This window comes from Homo sapiens, chromosome 3 (genome assembly GCF_000001405.40).
Source record: "Homo sapiens chromosome 3, GRCh38.p14 Primary Assembly".
NCBI classification, from domain to species: Eukaryota; Metazoa; Chordata; class Mammalia; order Primates; family Hominidae; genus Homo; species Homo sapiens.
The window spans coordinates 25,712,597-25,727,567 of NC_000003.12; the positions used below are offsets into that span (position 1 = coordinate 25,712,597).

General features: G+C 37.4%; 1 protein-coding gene across 11 annotated transcripts in view; it reads right to left on the reverse strand.

Annotated features, from left to right (window-relative positions):
• Window positions 6,348–14,971, reverse strand: part of NGLY1 (N-glycanase 1) — a 71,096-nt gene continuing 62,472 nt past the window's right edge. For 6 of the 11 annotated variants that reach the window (NM_001145294.2, XM_005265316.1, NM_018297.4 and 3 more), the window contains 2 exons: window positions 7,418–7,595; window positions 6,348–7,039 (listed from right to left, as the gene is read on the reverse strand). In NM_001145294.2, coding sequence (NP_001138766.1) covers window positions 6,864–7,039; window positions 7,418–7,595 — 354 coding nt within the window. In that variant the 3' untranslated portion in view covers window positions 6,348–6,863. Of the gene's footprint in view, window positions 7,040–7,417; window positions 7,596–10,080; window positions 10,304–14,971 lie in introns of those variants that run through there. The other 5 variants (XM_005265317.1, NM_001145295.2, XM_047448558.1 and 2 more) reach the window with 2 other exon arrangements.

Here is a 14,971-nt window from a genome sequence, read left to right on the forward strand (position 1 = left end):
AAGAGAAAACAGAAATATTTCAGTAACAAGAGACTTCTAGAATAGTTCTAATTAGTAATCTCAAGAGATAGAGAAGATAATACAATCATCAAGTGCAAGCTGATGTTTAGAAAAGCAATCATAAAGAGTTGGATATTGGCCAGGCATGGTGGCTCAAGCCTGCAATCCCAGCACTTTGGGAGGCCGAGGCGGGTGGATCACGAGGTCAGGAGATCGAGACCATCCTGGCTAACACGGTGAAACCCCGTCTCTACTAAAAATACAAAAAAAAAAAAAAAAAAAATAGCCAGGCGTAGTGGCGGGCGCCTGTAGTCCCAGCTGCTTGGGAGGCTGAGGCAGAATGGCGTGAACCCAGGAGGCGGAGCTTGCAGTGAGCCGAGATCGCACCACTGCACTCCAGGCTGGGCGACAGAGTGAGACTCCGTCTCAAAAAAAGAAAAAAAAAGACTCGGATATTAAATATGATTATCAAAACAAAGAACCCATCCAATAGAAAAAGGTATGAGTGTGCTTATACATAAATTCAATTTTACATATTGTAAACATATTAACATATAATTATATATAATACATATACATAGAAAATTTAAATACAAAACAAAAATGGCCAATGAATATTGAAAAACTGTTTAACCTCACAAGTAAACAGGGAAATGTAAGTTAAAACTAGATACTTTTCACAGTTCAGAATGGCAAAAGTAACTGCTATTTTGGAAATCTAATGATGTATAAACAAATCACTCAGAAATAATGTCTTTTAAAAATCATTTATTATCTCTCATGGTTTCTGTGCATGCATGAGGAATTCATTAGTGCTTTGGCTGGGCAGTTGTGACTTGGGGTGTCTCATTCCCTCGAAGCTACAGTTTTTAAAGGCTTGACTGGGGCAGGAGAAACCACTTCCATGACTGGCAAGTTGGTGCTTGCGATTGGAGGCAGGCCTCGGTTCCGCTCCACAGATCTTCTGGAGTGTCCTAGGGGCATGGCAACTGGCTTTTTCTGAGAGAGCAGTCCAAGAAAGCCGAGGCTTTTATGTCCTAGCCTCGGAAATACCACATTATTACTCACTATATTCTATTGGACACATGGGCTAGCTCTAATTTAGTATAAAAGGGACAACCCAAAGGGTATGGAAGCTAAGCGGCGGGGATCTCTGGTGGTTGGCTACCACAGCTGCGATATTCAGTTTCGGTAAGAATGGGAGGAAATCGGTGTTCTCAACCACTACTGCTGGGTGTGTAAATTATCTTTAGAGGGCAATTTGACAGTAGCTAGTCAGATTTAAAATGCACATACCTTTGCATGTATTTTATGTAAGAGAAATGTGTAGAAGGATGCTGATTGTAGCAGGGCTTTTAATAACCAAAAAAAGGGAAAAATCTAAATATCTGTAAATAATAGAATGGATAAATTACGGAATTCTGTGAAGCAGTTAAAAATAAGTGTAGCAGAACCATGACTGACCAAGGAATGATTTCAGTTAAAAAACAAGCGGGAAAAGGATATACTTTCATTTACATAAAAAAGCAAACACATGAAAACTGTGTGTGTGTATATGTTTCTGTGTATACATATATAGACATGAAAATCCACAGGAAACCTTTAGAAGGACACATGTAAAATTTTTGGCAGTTAACTTGGAAAATAATGTAGAGCATGGGAAGTGGAGGCAGCACTTTTACTTTATAATATTTTGTTATATCGTTTTAAAACAATTTCGTTATGCCCAGAGCAAGTCTTCAGAAAACTAAGAGAGAAGAGAGCAAGGTCGCAACTTCTAAGTCTGTTTTCACTGTGGCTTAAGAAATAGGAAAGGGGTGTTGGACACACAGCCATTAAAATACTGGCTCCCACTTAATTCTTCAGTTTCATCATCTATAAAATGGGGATAAGATACAGTATCTACTGTACAATGCCATCATGATCAAATGAGACAATGAAAGTCACTGGCACTTAGGAAAAACTCAAAAAGTGGTGACTATTGGTTTAGGTCTATTCTAAATCTCTTATTAGAAATAAAACTGTTTTGGTCAATATGCAGAGTGTAACTGAATACATGCTAAGAGAAATAAAACCAATCATGACCTGTATTGGTTTCCTCTTCTTCTCCCAAAAGTATTTAAGGAAGGTGTGCTACCTGGATCCGTTATTAGTTTATGAAGAGTGTATCTGCTGGTACTATAAAATCAAAACACAACTTATTGTTGTAGACGAAAAAAAGTCTTTAGAAAAGCTTAACTATGGTTAGAAAAATCAATTTCAATTATAACACCTCAACTTGAACATTTCTATTAAAGTTTCTATATTTCAATATTAATAACTTCTAACTTCAATTGTAACACCTTCTCAACTTGAACATTTCTATTAAAGTATCTATATTCACATAACACCTATTAAAACAGCAACCCACTTACAGGTCTCTGATTCTATAAACTTGCAACTTGATAGATGTAGAAATGAATCTTGCCTACACCACTGATTCATTGAATTGTCAGGACAGGTCATTTCCCTTCTCTGGGCTTGAGTTTTCCTCATTGGAAAAGTAAGAAATCTGGGTTAAATTATCTCTAACAACCCTTTCTATCTCAGAAGTGTTCTATGACAAAGTGTTCTCTGGCCCTCCTTTAATCAGAAGCACTATTTTCCTTGTGAATTGATCAAAGCATCAGATGTACTTCTCGTTCACCATGAGAATGTGGTTTCCAGCAAAGGACTTTCTTAAAAATAAAACACTGCAGCAACAAGCAGTGTCTGTGGAATTCATCATGATGGGATCTGACCTGAAACCAGGGTATAGATTCTTTTTAAATAATGTGCAATGGCAGTGGAAAGCTTATTAATCAGAAGATCCTAAATAAAATGTACCTTAATATTGGTCGCTCACTGAGGGGTCTGTACTATCGGCCATTCTTTGCCTAAGTTACTTTTGCCTTACCAGTTTACTGTCACTTAACTTTTCACATCATCAAGAACTGTGTTGTCCCATACCTTCTGTACCATTTCCAAACTTTTCTGAATAATAAAATATCTACTAACATATATTGGGTAGGCTCAGGGTTGAAAATCTCATGAAATATATTTATGAAAAGTGTTTTTGGCTGGGCGCAGTGGCTCACGCCTGTAATCCCAGCACTTTGGGAGGCCGAGGCAGGCAGATCATGAGGTCAGGAGATCGAGACCATCCTGGCTAACACGGTGAAACCCCGTCTCTACTAAAAATACAAAAAATTAGCCAGGCGTGGTGGTGGGCGCCTGTAGTCCCAACTACTTGGGAGGCTGAGGCAGGAAAATGGAGTGAACCCGGGAGGCAGAGCTTGCAGTGAGCCAAGATTGTGCCACTGCACTCCAGCCTGGGTGACAGAATGAGACTCGGTCTCAAAAACAAACAAACAAACAAAACAAAACAAAACAAAAAAAGTAAAGTGTTTTAGGTCTTTAATCCATCTTGAGTTAATTTTTGTATAAGGAAGGGGACCAGTTTCAGTTTTCTGCATATGGCTAGCCAGTTTTCCCAGGACCATTTATTAAATACGGAATTCTTTCCCCATTGCTTGTTTTTGTCAGGTTTGTCGCAATGGTTGTAGATGTGTATTTTTCTGAGGTCTCTGTTCTGTTCCATTGGTCTATATGTCTGTTTTAGTACCAATACCATGCTGTTTTGATTACTCTAGCCTTGTAGTATAGTTTGAAGTCAGGGAACATGATGCCTCCAGCTTTGTTCTCTTTGCTTAGGATTGTCATGGCTATACGGACTCTTTTGTGGTTCCATATGAAATTTAATTTTTTTCTAATTCTGTGAACAATGTTAATGGTAGTTTGATGGGACCAGCATTGAATCTATAAATTACTTTGGGCAGTATGGCCATTTTCATGATATTAATTCTTCCTATCCATGAGGATGTTAGGTTTTTCCATTTGTTTGTGTCCTCTCTTATTTCCTTGAGCAGTGGTTTGTAGTTCTCCTTGAAGCGGTCTTTCACATCCCTTGTTAGCTGTATTCCTAGATGTTTTATTCTGTTTGTAGCAATTATGAATGTGAGTTCATTCATGATCTGGCTCTCTGCTTGTCTACTGTTGGTGTATAGGAATGCTTGTGATTTTTATACACTGATTAAACCTAGGCAATACCATTCAGGACATAGGCATGGGCAAAGATTTCATGACGAAAACGCCAAAAGCAATTGCAATAAAAGCAAAAATTGACAAATAGGATCTAATTAAAGAGTTTCTGCACAGCAAAAGAAATTATCATCAGAGTGAACAGGCAACCTGCAGAATGGGAGAAAATTTTTGCAATCTACCCATCTGACAAAGATCTAATGTCCAGAATCTACAAGGAACTTAAATTTACAAGAAGAAAACAACGCCATCAAAAAGTGGGCAAAGGATATGGACAGACACTTCTCAAAAGACATTTATGTGGCCAATAAACATATGAAAAAAAGCTCAACATCACTGATCATTCGAGATATGCAAATAAAAACCACAATGAGATACTACCTCATCCCAGTCAGAATGGTGATTATTAAAAAGTCAAGAAACAATAGATGCTGGTGAGGCTGTGGAGAAACAGGAATGCTTTTACACTGTTGGTAGGAATGTAAACTAATGCAACCATTATGGAAGACAGTGTGGCGATTTCTCAAGGATCTAGAACTAGAAATACCATTTGACCCAGCAATCCCATTACTGGGTATATACCCAAAGGAATATACATCACTCTACTATTAAGACACGAGCACATGTATGTTTACTGCAGCATTATTTATATTAGCAAAGACATGGAACCAGCCCAAATGCCCATCAATGACACTGGATAAAGAAAATGTGGTACATATACACCATGGAATACTATGCAGCCATAGAAAGGAATGAAATCATGTCCTTTGCAGGGACATGGGGGAAGCTGGAAGCCATCATCCTTAGCAAACACAGGAACAGAAAACCAAACACTGCATGTTCTCACTGATAAGTGGGAGATGAACAATGAGAACACACGGACACAGGGAAGGGAACAACACACACCAGGGCCAGGCGGGGGGTGGGGTACAAGGGAAGGGAGAGCATTGGGACAAACAGTTTATGCATGCGGGGCTTAAAACCTAGATGACGGGTTGATAGGTGCAGCAAATCACCATGGCACACATATACCTATGTAACAAACCTATACGTTCTGCACTTGTATCCCAGAACTTAAAGTAAAATGAAAAATATGTATATATATTGAAAAGTATTCCCAAAAAAAGGGTGCAACTACCTTTTCTCTTTGACAGTTCAACTCTATAACAACATAAAACATTTGAACTCGAATAATGTTTTCTGCTTAAAGCCACAGTAAAAGTTAGAATGCATCCATTCAGTTGAGTTCCTACATTCTATTACCATCTTTATAAAACTGCTTGAAAAGTTCTAGGTTTTTTCATGCTGGTTAACAGGATTAGCCCATATGATCATCAAAATACTCACTGTGCCAATAGCAGACACCACAAGACAGGTAAGTGTCAAGTTCTTCCAATCTTAAGTACTTGGCCACTATAGGTTAAAATTTTGAGTCTGAGAGTTCCAGAAAACGTTCTTATATTCAAGACATATTAATAATTTCAGATGCATAAACTTCTTTTGAAATATAACTTTTTAGCAAAAAATGATTCTCAACAGAGTTTTACTGCAATTATAAAGCAAATATTAGCTGGGAGCAATGGCTCATGCCTGTAGTCCCAGCTACTTGGAAGGCTGAGGTGAGAGGGTTGCTTAAGCCCAGGAGTTCCAAGCATCTTAGGCAACATAGCAACATCTCATCTCTCAAAAGAAAAAAAGAATAAATATAAGACCTTTGTTTCCAGATCTTATTATATATTTTATAATACATGTCACGTTCTATTGAGTGGCACAGGGTGAGACTCTTGAGTGTGTCTTTTTCTTGTATAAAGAGTTGAGAACTCACTTTGCAGAATATCACAAAGGAATCTGGAGGCTTGGGGCTATGTCTTTTTCACCACTGCTTCCTCCACAGTGCTATCACAATGCTTTGTACATAAATGCTTAATAAATGTTCACTAAATTTGAGAGGTTATACAGAATATACACAAAACCTCTTGATACAACATATAGATACTGTATAATATAGTTACATAGTTTCAAAATCAAGAATATTTTATTCAATGAGGTAGATAAAAATATAACTCAAAGGTAAGGCATTTTCAAAATGTCCACGTATTATGGAATTTAAAATGTATCCTAGTTTATGTTGTCAATGTTAAATGTTTTCATAACTCATATCTATTCAAGTATTTTTCAATGTTTAGAAAAAAGATTTTTATTTAGCCAAAATAACCACTAAAAAGATGTAAGGCAAAATACTTCATTTTATTTCTTAAATGCCTGAATATTTATAATCATATAAATTTTCATGCATTATATAATTTATGAGCTACTGTACTTTCACATTAATTAAAAATATTAGGAGACTCTAATTTAACCACTTCTGAAGAAATGAATGGCTGATCAGAAAATGTCAAATTACTATCATAAGCCCAAGATTTTATCATAATCATGAATAGCATTTAATCATGAATATCATTATTTAACTTTTAAAACCATACTTACAGTTTTAGATTAAAATCCCATATTGAGTCAACAAGACTTTACTCCAAATTATAGTCACATATGGAAGAAAGGTTTTAATTCAATATTTTATTATAGTCCACGTATAAAGATAATTTTCATGAGGGTTACATGATGGATAGCTAGCAAAAGAAATATGCTAGCACAGGGTGGTAACTGCCAACTAAGCATGCACTGAACCAACAGACTACTTCAGTAAGTCCTTGATTATTGCCAGCTTTTCTATAATGTTCAGGTTCTCAAAGGTCACTGAATTTTATAATTATCTCCAAACAATTTTCTTCATGGTCATTTAAGCTTTGTCTAAACAGCTGGGTGTGTTGCCAAGCGACATCACCATCTCCTCTGCTTAATTCTGCTTCCAAAATAACTTCAGTGGCACCAGAAAAATCAGCATAGGAGTGAAGACTGTTATCTGTTAGAGGGAAAAAAAAAATTAACATTTTGCTTTTGGTAATTTAAAGAGCACAGATCATTTTGAAATGTATTTTATATAGGCTGATGTATAAGTTAAAATAAACCCTTAAAAATAAATACAAATTATTCTTTATGGAAGAAATGCATCCTTTGAAACAAAGAAATGATTTTTTCCTTGCATTTGTATTTCACAACAGAAAACATCAGCCTTTCTGTTACAATGGGATCACACAGGGTTTATTAAATTTTTTTTTTTTTACTGAAATAGTATTAATAACTCTTAGGTACGAAAAAGAGCTACATCTCAAATAAGTACAATTAGTCTTCAGAGTGGTAAATATATATTTCGTGATTAATTCTCCAGGCAAATGCTTACCGCCTGTCAGTTCTACTTGTGCTGTATCAGATCGCAATTTCCATTCTACTGTTCCAGTCTGAAAAGTTTGACTACTTGTTCTAATAGAAATGCTATCTACTTTTAGGCCAACTGACCCACACTCAAACTTCCAGGAAATATAAGCAAAAGATGATCCTTCCTTTCGGGCCAAATATACCTATAAGGAGTAGGGATGGGGAGAAAGGAACTGTCAGAAAAAATGAAATAGTATAGAAAACAAACTTAGTGAAGAATATTACTGTCACAGGGTAGTATGTACAAGTGGTTATTTAAAAACTAACTTTTCCCTGTTGAAAAGGTTCTTACTGCTAACATTTTTTTTGGCAATTTTTCCCATGGCATCTTTTACCCTAGAAGACAGGTATTATTTGAATGCAGATGTCCCCAAAAAGTGCAATTCTAAAGGACTGCATTCTAACCAAATTTTGGTAAATCATCTTCTTTTATATTAAGAAGTTCAACTCTTTAAAATGAGTTTTATGACTAATCCTGCTGAAAATGAAGAATCCTTTTAAATGCAACTACTCTTTAATTTTTATAAGTCTGGATTTTCATATACGCTTTCCTAGTGTGACATGGTATGCTATAGTCTCTAAATCGAGAAAATACCTGAGCCACTGCTAACTAATGGTTTAAAAGGTGATATCCATGCTCACTTCTCTAAATAGCATGCTCCCTGTTCCTTCATCAACGCCCTTTAGCACATTAAATGTATACTATTTAAGGCATCTAAGCCTACTGGCTGCTTCCAGCTCATCCCCTCTCATACTTTTATCTACACTCCTCAAAACATTGCCATGAAAACTGACATCCACAGCCTTGGTCTTTCACAGGTCACTCTATTCAACCATGCTCAAACTCTTAAGACTCTGACGCTTCAGTCGTTCATCCCTTACGTCTGAATTCCCACAAAATTCTATGTATTTGTTTGAAATCTTGGAAAGAAACCCCTTCCTCACTAATACTGCACTTACTACTACAGTTTGAACTTTACACTTATCTTAATGCAATTGACTACTGTTGTACAATTCCAATTGCTCTGACCATATTTTTATTTTCAAGTGTATTATTTTAGACACAGGGTCTCACTCTGTCACCCAGGCTGGAATGCAGTGGTGCAATCATAGCTCACTGAAGCCTTGAACTCCTGGGTTCAAATGACCCTGTTGTCTCAGCCTCCAACTACCATGCCTGGCTAATTTAAAAAAATTTTTTAGAGGCAGGGTCTCACTATGTTGCCCAGGCTGGTCTTGAACGCCTGCCTCAGTCTCCTGAGTTGCTGAGATTGTAGGTGTGAGCTACCGTGCCTGGCTCTGATCAGATTAATGTTTTAAAATCCCACTCTCTTTATGTTATCTGCCTGGTCTGAAATGTACAGCAAGTACTTGGTTCTTACATTAAGTCTAATCTATTAGCTTTAAAAATCCTCCACAATTAGGCTGGGCACGGTGGCTCACGCCTGTAATCCCAGCACTTTGGGAGGCTGAGGCAGGTGGATCACGAGGTCAGGAGATCGAAACCATCCTAACACAGTGAAACCCTGCCTCTACTAAAAATACAAAATATTAGCTGGGCGTGGTGGCAGGCGCCTGTAGTCCCAGCTATTCAGGAGGCTGAGGCAGGAGAATGGTGTGAACCCGGGGGGCGGAGCTTGCAGTGAGCCGAGACTGCGCCATTGCACTCCAGCCTGGGCGACAGAGCAAGACTCCATCTCAAAAAAAAAAAAAAAAAAAAAAAAAAGAAAAGAAAAAATCCTCCACAATTTCATCCCACCTTGAATTGCCAATGCTCCTTTTTATTTTTTTATACTATACTCCTTTATACTGCCCATACTCTGACCTATCTTCATCAAATCATAAGCTCTCTGGGGGCACAGTTTCTGGATTCATAAAAGCATTTAGTGCCGGGCACAGTCATTCACACCGGTAATCCCAGCACTTTGGGAGGCTGAGGCAGTCGGATCACTTGAGGTTAGGTGTTCAAGACCAGCCTAGCCAACATGGTGGAACCCCATCTCTACTAAAAATACCAAAATTAGCCGGGCATGTTAGTGCACACTTGTAATCCCAGCTACTCGGGAGGCTGATACATGAATATTGCTTGAACTAGGGAGGCAGAGGTTGCAGTGAGCGGGATGGTGCCACTGCACTCCAGCCCGGGTGACAGAGCGAGACTCTGTCTAAAAAAAAAAATAAAAATAAAAACATTTAGTAAATATTATTAAAGATCTGTATACACACATATATATATATATATATTCATGTTAGACTTGATCTTTTTAGAAACATCTAACTCATACTCTAGCTCAGGGGCAAATAGTTGAAAGTACCATATAAAACACATCTGCCATGGAATATCCTATTATATGTACTATTCTGTATTCTGGTCTTTACTCATATCAAGTAAAAAAATCAATCGCCAATAGTATTCTAATCACCATCTATTTGACAACCAACCTATAGCTATTTTTCTTCCAGGTATGCCCATTAATTTAATCTGAAAATTTTTAGAATCAGTGAGTTAGAGATTATGTAACAACTGAACAATCACTCTCCAAAGAAAATGTTCTTAAACTACTCAGAGTAGATATGTATAGCCAACTGTTATTTGTTGTTGACAAACCTAGATGTGGAACTGTCAATTGCTCCACTCAAGTTTGGACAACGCCACTATAACATCCTCTGGTGTTCATATATGTTCCTACTGCATGCTCCTCTTACAGCCGCTTGTAAGGAGGATGTGGGACTCAGGACTCCACCAGTGTTCCCCGGGAGTCATTAGTTTCACCCATCCTAAACTATTAGGCATCTGGGTTACACACAGGTTAACTGCTCCTTTAAAGGAATGGCTAGCAAAGGGGGATATCTGGGAAAGAAGAGCCAAACAGAGAGGTTACTGGAAGAAAGGTGAATTAAAAGAACTAAAAGACTTAAGGAAAGTAATCTTAAGACATAAACATTAACAGATATACTCAAATTTATCTCTCAATATGCACTTCTATATCTTGTATATTTTCAGAGCTCACTAGATTCAAATGTCCCTCAAAAGTGTGGGTATAAAATATGATAGGCTGAAATTACGTTAACTTCAAATCTAGCTTACTCCAATAACTGCCTTAATTATATTGTGTGGGTCTGGGTCAGAACTGTGGTTTTAACTGTTTAAGAGAAGGTTTATAGTAGCTGTTGAACATGTCTGACAGCATTTATTAAAGCCTTAAAATTTTCAGTCCTAAAGGCATCATCAGCTTTTAAGACTCTAGAAAGTTAAAGAATAAGATAGAGTTCATGATTTAATACTTAAATGTTTAAACATTCAAACATACTATGAGCAAAATAAAAAAGGTCTCTTATGTTAAAGAACAGTATATGGAGATAAAACACCCTATTTATACAGAAAATTCCTATCATCTTTTTTTGCACAATATATTCTGTCAAAGACTCATTTTTAGAGGTGGTAGAAAGTTACCAAGAATATGTATACTCAGTTTAGTAAATTAAAATGTACCACAACAATAGAATTTATAAAAAACCTCCAACTCTGATCCCACTATGTATAATATGAACACAATCAGTAACTATAATTTATTTAAAAGGAAAAAAAAAAGCAAACATTCACTTGTTTAGTGTAGAGAAAAAAAATTTTTTTTACAACTGTTGATTGTTCCTAACATCGTGAGTTATTTGATAGACATATTTTTGCCTGTTGGCTTTAAAAAATTTTTTTTAAATTTATTGTGTGCATTCTGTAAGCTCGGTTTTGTAATGTGTAGGTCTCTAAAAGGTGAGTGTTGCTATCCTACTTTAGCAGGAGTGCTAGTAAAGTCAGAAATCATGGAGGTTTTCTCCTGTATTCTATATATACCACCCAACCCCTCCTCCCACCAGTGACCCATCCTTGCTCCTTGTTGTAAGCACATATGAGCATATACACCCTTTGCGTGAGAACAAGACCTGTGTGTCTACGGTTTAGGCATAAGCCATACTATTCACAATATATAAAAATAGAACTTGTCTTTAGGTTGTGGCTGTAACCACTATTTTCAGGACTGAGAACAATTTGCATGTTGGCTTTATGTAACTAATATTCTACAGAAGATTTTGCTCAAAGATTTTTTGATTACTACATGTCAGGCTGCTATGGCTCCCTAGAGGTTCAGTTTGGACTATATTGTTTGAAGCTCTTCTTTAATACACTCTTAAAATTATTGTTCTACTGAGGCTGCTAAGATTCACTCAAGTTCAGTTCACCATACAGCAAGCACCCTGAAGTCCGTCATTCCCACAGATACCCAGCAAAGCAGCTGTATTTCAAGGAATCTCAAATTGTTGCTGGTAAACCGGTACTTGCAATGAGTCTTGTTTTTGGTTATTCCATTTTATGTTGAAAATCAAACATGAATCCACTTGTAGTTCCCACTGTAAATATTTCTGTGTATACTTCCAATTTATTCCATTTGTAGAATTTGGATAAGAATTTTTAAGATTTCCATGTATACTTCCAATTTACTCCATTTGTAATAGGAAACTTTCATGGTTGCCTATTACATAATTGCAAGGTAATCAAAGTCTCTGGGACCTGACAATTATTTACCTCTCTAGTCTCATTTCTCACTATTCTCCTCCATATTCTCTACTTCTCACTTTTTCCTGAATATACCAGATGTCTCTCACCTCAGTGCTTTTGAAGACACTATTTCTCATGTCCCCAAACAACCTCCCCTTCCATATCCTGTCCTCATACTAAGAAACTTTCCCTCTTCCTCCTCTCCAAAAGCCAACTCAGATATTACTTCTTCTGCAAGGCCTTCTCTGACTCAGTGTGATATTATGATATGTGTATATATACCTCCAGATTTTCATTCATGGTTCCTGGCTCATAACTCCCATAGCCTTTATTATTTCTAAGGCAGGCTATGGAAACTAAAAATATACTCTAATCTCCCCACAACTTGCTTTCTTGGAGCTGACCATAAATAATTTATCTGACCTACCTTGTCTGATTATGGGTCATAAAACCCCTATTTCAGAAAATGTCCTGTTCCATACCCTGGAGGTAGAAATGCTGCACAGAGAGACCAAGAAGAATCTGAACAGACAGGCTTTGCTGGGTTTTGTCAGGCTATTAGTATCAGATCACACCCTTTTTGTCCAATCATATTTCTACATTGTTGTCATGGTTATGAAAATCCAATGAAGTCTCCATAAAAGGCCTATCAGGACAGGGTTTGGAGAACTTCTGGAGAGCTGATCACATGGAGGTTCCTGGAGGGTGGCACACCCGGGGAGGGCAGAGGGGCTCCATGTGCCTTCCTATACCTTGCCCTGTGCATCTCTTCATCTGCATCCTTTGTAATATTCTTTATAATAAACCAGTAAACGTGTTTCCCTGAGTTCTATGAGTCACTCTAGCAAATTAACTGACTCCAAGGAGAGAGTCATAGGAACCTGATTTATAGCCAGTTGGTCAGAAGCACAGGTAAAACAAACTGGAGCTTGTGATTGGCATCTGAAGTGGGGAGGGGAGAGTCTTGGGGACTAAACCCTCAACATTTGGTATCTAATGTTATCTCCAGGAAGATCATGTTAGAATTGATTGGATTAGAGGTCACTCAGCTGGTTCTGCTGCAGAATTGCTTGCTTGCTTATTTGGGGGAACCCACCCCTCCACATATTTGGTCAGAGGTCTGAGTTGATTGTTGTAGAGAGAACAGAAAAAAAAAAATACTTGTAGAGTGAACAAAACAAAACAAAATACTTGGAGTATGAGGTTTTTTTCACTCAGATTCAGGGTGTTAGTGGCTCTTGTTTCTGTCTTCTTTCTCTCAGTATCATAAACAAACACATACTCTTCTACCATTTACCCCCATTAATCTAAACAGTTGACCCACATGTCTTTCACTTTACCAGCTGATACGCACCTTGAGGCTTGCCTCTTAATTCACCATTACATCAGACTGCCAAGCACAATATTTGACAATGTGCATATTTGCTGAGTGCTGAATGAATTCTTGACATAATGCCATGCACCCGCCCCCTCACCCCGCCAAAATGCTAAAATGACTGTAGTGACAAAGAGAGGGATAAAACTCATCAAAACCAAAAAGTATCTAAGACCATCCAAAGGACACTCAACAAAGTGAGGTTCTTACAGTGCTCTACATAGCCCTAGGGTGATGCAGAATTTATGCCACGTACATTTTTACATTCACCAATCTTTACTAAACACTTACTATGTATCGGGTACTATGCCAGATATATGAATACTGAGAGTACAAAAGTGAGTAGAAAAAGACAAGGTCTCTCCCTAAGAATTGTTTACAATCTAATGTAAACATTATTAGAGAGAGACAAATAATTTATTTTCATTTCTATTTGTTGAATACATGTCATGAAAGAGAGGTATATGGTACAATGAATCTATAAAGAGGGAAATGGATTCAATTTGCTGGGACCTGAGGGAGTGAGGCTTGGGCCAAGTGGTAAGGTTAAGAATAAATTAATCAAAAAAGAGAAGTATAGGAGGTTCTGTGAAGAAGGGAGAAGGGACAATATATCTGCAATGCAGAGAGCAAGGGGTAGCACAGTGCAAGGCAAAGCCAGAGAAGAAGGCAAGGACCAGATTTGGAAAAGACGTGGAGCTATGTCTTACTCTAAGAGCACTCAGTTAAGGATTAAGTTTTTGTAAATGTTTCTTTAGCGAGAGCATGGATCACAGCTTTGAAAGGATTAGGACAGAGGGAGATTAGTTAGGAAGCTATTAATACTGCTTTTATCAAGGTGTTATCACTTGCCTCCCAAAAAGCGTACTGGTCTTCTTGATTTAGTTTTTATATGCTTTTCAATTCAGACATTACTGAACAATGTTATTTGCTAAATAGCAAATTTTAATCTTTGTGCTCCTGGGAGGATACCTCTTTGAGAGGTAAAGAATCTGTTCTAAAACTCTGAAAGCAGGCTGCATGTGATCTGTCATGATACCTGGTTGGAGATTACTGAGAAAAACGGTAGTGAGAAATAGGTTTACTATTCAACAGAGCTAGAAAATCCCTAACTGGGGGCATGCTAGTACAGAACCAGAAATACTGATTTAGATGGAATACTTAAGTTATAACGACAATTGTTACTTCCGAGTTATCACTCTCTACAAGTAAAGATTCTAGTATTTTTCTTCATTTGATACTAAATACATGTAGCTAGAAAGAAATTCACTCAACTTAAAAAAAATGGTACCCTTCATAAAAGTATATCAAGGCATAAGCTTTACTTGAATAGGGGTGTGTTTTCTATTTAATGGCCTTTGTCTATCATTTACATTATTTAAATCTTTCTCACACTATAGCCCCTCTCTGGCTAAAATGTTCTATTTGGAGATCTTGAAATACGCCACGTACTCCATGCCTTTTTGTTTCCTTGCCTGATAAACACCTACTCAACCTCCAGTGTCCAGCTCAAATGTCGTCTGCTCAGTGGAGCTTTGCCCAACTCCTACAGCCAAAGCTAATTACTCCCACCTCACTGTTTCCATAGCAAT